This window comes from Homo sapiens, chromosome 4, assembly GCF_000001405.40.
Source record: "Homo sapiens chromosome 4, GRCh38.p14 Primary Assembly".
Classification (NCBI taxonomy): domain Eukaryota; kingdom Metazoa; phylum Chordata; class Mammalia; order Primates; family Hominidae; genus Homo; species Homo sapiens.
Window position 1 is genome coordinate 51,982,321 of NC_000004.12, and position 3,533 is coordinate 51,985,853.

Genomic DNA, 3,533 nt, shown 5'->3' on the forward strand with positions numbered 1-3,533 from the left:
ATAACCTTTACCTTCCCTTCGCCAGACACTTCCTACAGAGCAAGCTTATCTATTAGGTTGGTGCCAGAGTAATTTGGCAAAAGTAATGGCAAAAACAACAATTACTTTTGCACCAACCTAATAACTATGCACCAGAGAGGGAATTCTCCCACCAGGAGATGGCCTCAAGAGACAACAGTCAATTTACAACCTGAAGTGCCCCGCAACAGAGCTCTCTTTCACCTGGAGTGGATCTCAAGACAGTGGCCACCTTACAACCTAGCTCTGCCCACGATGGTGCCAGCTCGGTAGTTATGGCATCAAAGCGAGTCATGCAGACCCTACACCTGCTTTCTCCCTCTCCTGCATGCCATTCATGCCAAGTCCCTGCTTAAAAGCCTCTGCTTTCTGCCCAAAAGTAAAGTGATATCCTTAAAGGCAGGAGCCTGTACTTCTTCCCCTAAGCTATGCTGTGGAATAATGTCACTTTCTTTATACCAGACTCAATCTTGTTAATTGGACTCTGCAGGTGGTGAGTGACCGAACCTGTGTTTCAGTTACATGTGGAGCTTTAGGGAAACAGAAAAACCTATAGCCAATGGATGGACTCTACTCAGGGAAGCCACATAATCATATTTGCATTTTAGAAACCACCCCCTGGCTGCAGTGTGGGGAATAGTAAAGGGATGTAGGGCAGGAGGTGTGATCGTCAATTTTATGTGCCTACTTGATGGGTAAGGGATGCCCAGATGGCTGGTAAAACATGGTTTCTGGGTGTGTCTGTGAAGGTGTTTCTGGAAGAGATTAGCATTTGAGTCAGCAGCCAAATAAAGCTTTCTCTCACCTATGTGGGTGGGCAGCACCCAATCCATTGAGGGCCTAAATAGAACAAAAAGGTGGAGAAAAGAGGGCTTTCCTCTGTCTTATTGAGCTGAGACATTATCTCCTCCTGCTCTTAGACATCAGCACTCCCGGTTCTCAGAGATTTGTTTTCTGTTGTTGTTGTTTGTTTGTTTGTTTTGTATACAGGTACCCAGTGTGGTACACAGATTTTTATTTTTTATTTTTTTATTTTATATATATGCATATACTTTATATACATATATATTATTATACTTTAAGTTCTAGGGTACATGTGCACAACGTTAATGGTGTGCTGCACCCATTAAGCCTTCATTTACATTAGGTATGTCTCCTAATGCTATCCCTCCCCCTTCCCCCAACCCCACAACAGGCCCTGGGGTGTGATATTCCCCTTCCTGTGTCCAAGTGTTCTCCTTACTCAATTCCCACCTATGAATGAGAACATGCAGTGTTTGGTTTTTTGTCCTTGCAATAGTTTGCTGAGAATGATGGTTTCCAACTTCATCCATGTCCCTACAAATGACATGAACTCATCATTTTTTATGGCTACATAGTATTCCATGGTGTATATGAGCCACATTTTCTTAATCCAGTCTATCATTGTTGAATATTTGGGTTGGTTCCAAGTCTTTGCTATTGTAAGTAGTGCTGCAATAAACATACGTGTGCATGTGTCTTTATAGCAGCATGATTTATATTCCTTTGGGTATATACCCAGTAATGGGATGGCTGGGTCAAATGATATTTCTAGTTCTAGAACCCTGAGGAATCACCACACTGTCTTCCACAATGGTTGAACTAGTTTACAGTCCCACCAACAGTGTAAAAGTGTTCCTATTTCTCCACATCCTCTGCAGCACCTGTTGTTTCCCAACTTTTTAATGATCACCATTCTAACTGGTGTGAGATGGTATTTCATTGTGGTTTTGATTTGCATTTCTCTGATGGCCAGTGGTGATGAGCATTTTCCCATGTGTCTTTTGGCTGCATAAATGTCTTCTTTTGAGAAGTGTCTGTTCATATCCTTTGCCCACTTTTTGATGGGGTTGTTTTTTTCTTGTAAATTTGTTGGAGTTCTTTGTAGATTCTGGATATTAGCCCTTTGTCAGATGAGTAGATTGCAAAAATGTTCTCCCATTCTGTAGGTTGCCTGTTCACTCTGATGGTAGTTTCTTTTGCTGTGCAGAAGCTCTTTAGTTTAATTAGATCCCATTTGTCAATTTGGCTTTTGTTGCCAATTGCTTTTGGTGTTTTAGACATGAAGTCCTTGCCCATGCCTATGTCCTGAATGGTATTGCCTAGGTTTTCTTCTAGGGTTGTTATGGTTTTAGGTCTAACATTTAATTCTTTAGTCCATCTTGACTTAATTTTTGTATAAGGTGTAAGGAAGGGATCCAGTTTCAGCTTTCTACATATGGCTAGCCAGTTTTCCCAGCGCCATTTGTTAAATAAGGAATCCTTTCCCCATTTCTTGTTTTCGTCAGGTTTATCAAAGATCAAATAGTTGTAGATATGTGGCATTATTTCTGAGGGCTCTGCTCTGTTCCATTGGTCTATATCTCTGTTTTGGTACCAGTATCATGCTGTTTTGGTTACTGTAGCCTTGTGGTATAGTTTGAAGTCAGGTAGCGTGATGCCTCCAGCTTTTTTCGTTTGGCTTAGGATTGACTTGGCAATGTGGGCTCATTTTTGCTTCCATATGAACTTTAAAGTATTTTTTTCCAATTCTGTGAAGAAAGTCATTGGTAGCTTGATGGGGATGGCATTGAATCTATAAATTACCTTGGGCAGTATGGCCATTTTCAGGATATTGATTCTTCCTACCCATGAGCATGGAATGTTCTTCCATTTGTTTGTATCCTCTTTTATTTCATTGAGCAGTGGTTTGTAGTTCCCCTTGAAGAGGTCCTTCACATCCTTTTTAATGATCACCATTCTAACTGGTGTGAGATGGTATCTCATTGCAGTTTTGCTTTGCATTTCTCTGATGGCCAGTGGTGATGAGCATTTATTCATCTGTCTGTTGGCTGCATAAATGTCTGCTTTTGAGAAGTGTCTGTTCATATCCTTCGCCCACTTGTTGATGGCATTGTTTTTTTTCTTGTAAATTTGTTTGAGTTCTTTGTAGATTCTGGATATTAGCCCTTTGTCAGATGAGTAGATTGCAAAATTGTTCTCCCATTCTTTAGGTTGCCTGTTCACTCTGATGGTAGTTTCTTTTGCTGTGCAGAAGCTCTTTCATTTAATTATATCCCATTTGTCAATTTTGGCTTTTGTTGCCATTGCTTTTGGTGTTTTAGACATGAAGTCCTTGCCCATGCCTATGTCCTAAATGGTATTGCCTAGGTTTTCTTCTAGGGTTTTTATGGTTTTAGGTCTAACATTTATGTCTTTAATCCATCTCAACTTAATTTTTGTGTAAGGTGTAAGGAAGGGATCCAGTTTCAGCTTTCTACATATGGCTAGCCAGTTTTCCCAGCACCATTTGTTAAATAGGGATTCCTTTCCCCATTTCTTGTTTTTTTCAGGTTTGTCAAAGATCAGATAGTTGTAGATGTGTGGTATTATTTCTGAGGGCTCTGTTCTATTCCATTGGTCTATATCTCTGTTTTGGTATCAATACCATGCTGTTGTGGTTACTGTAGCCTTGTGGTATAGTTTGAAGTCAGGTAATGTGACGCCTCCAGCTT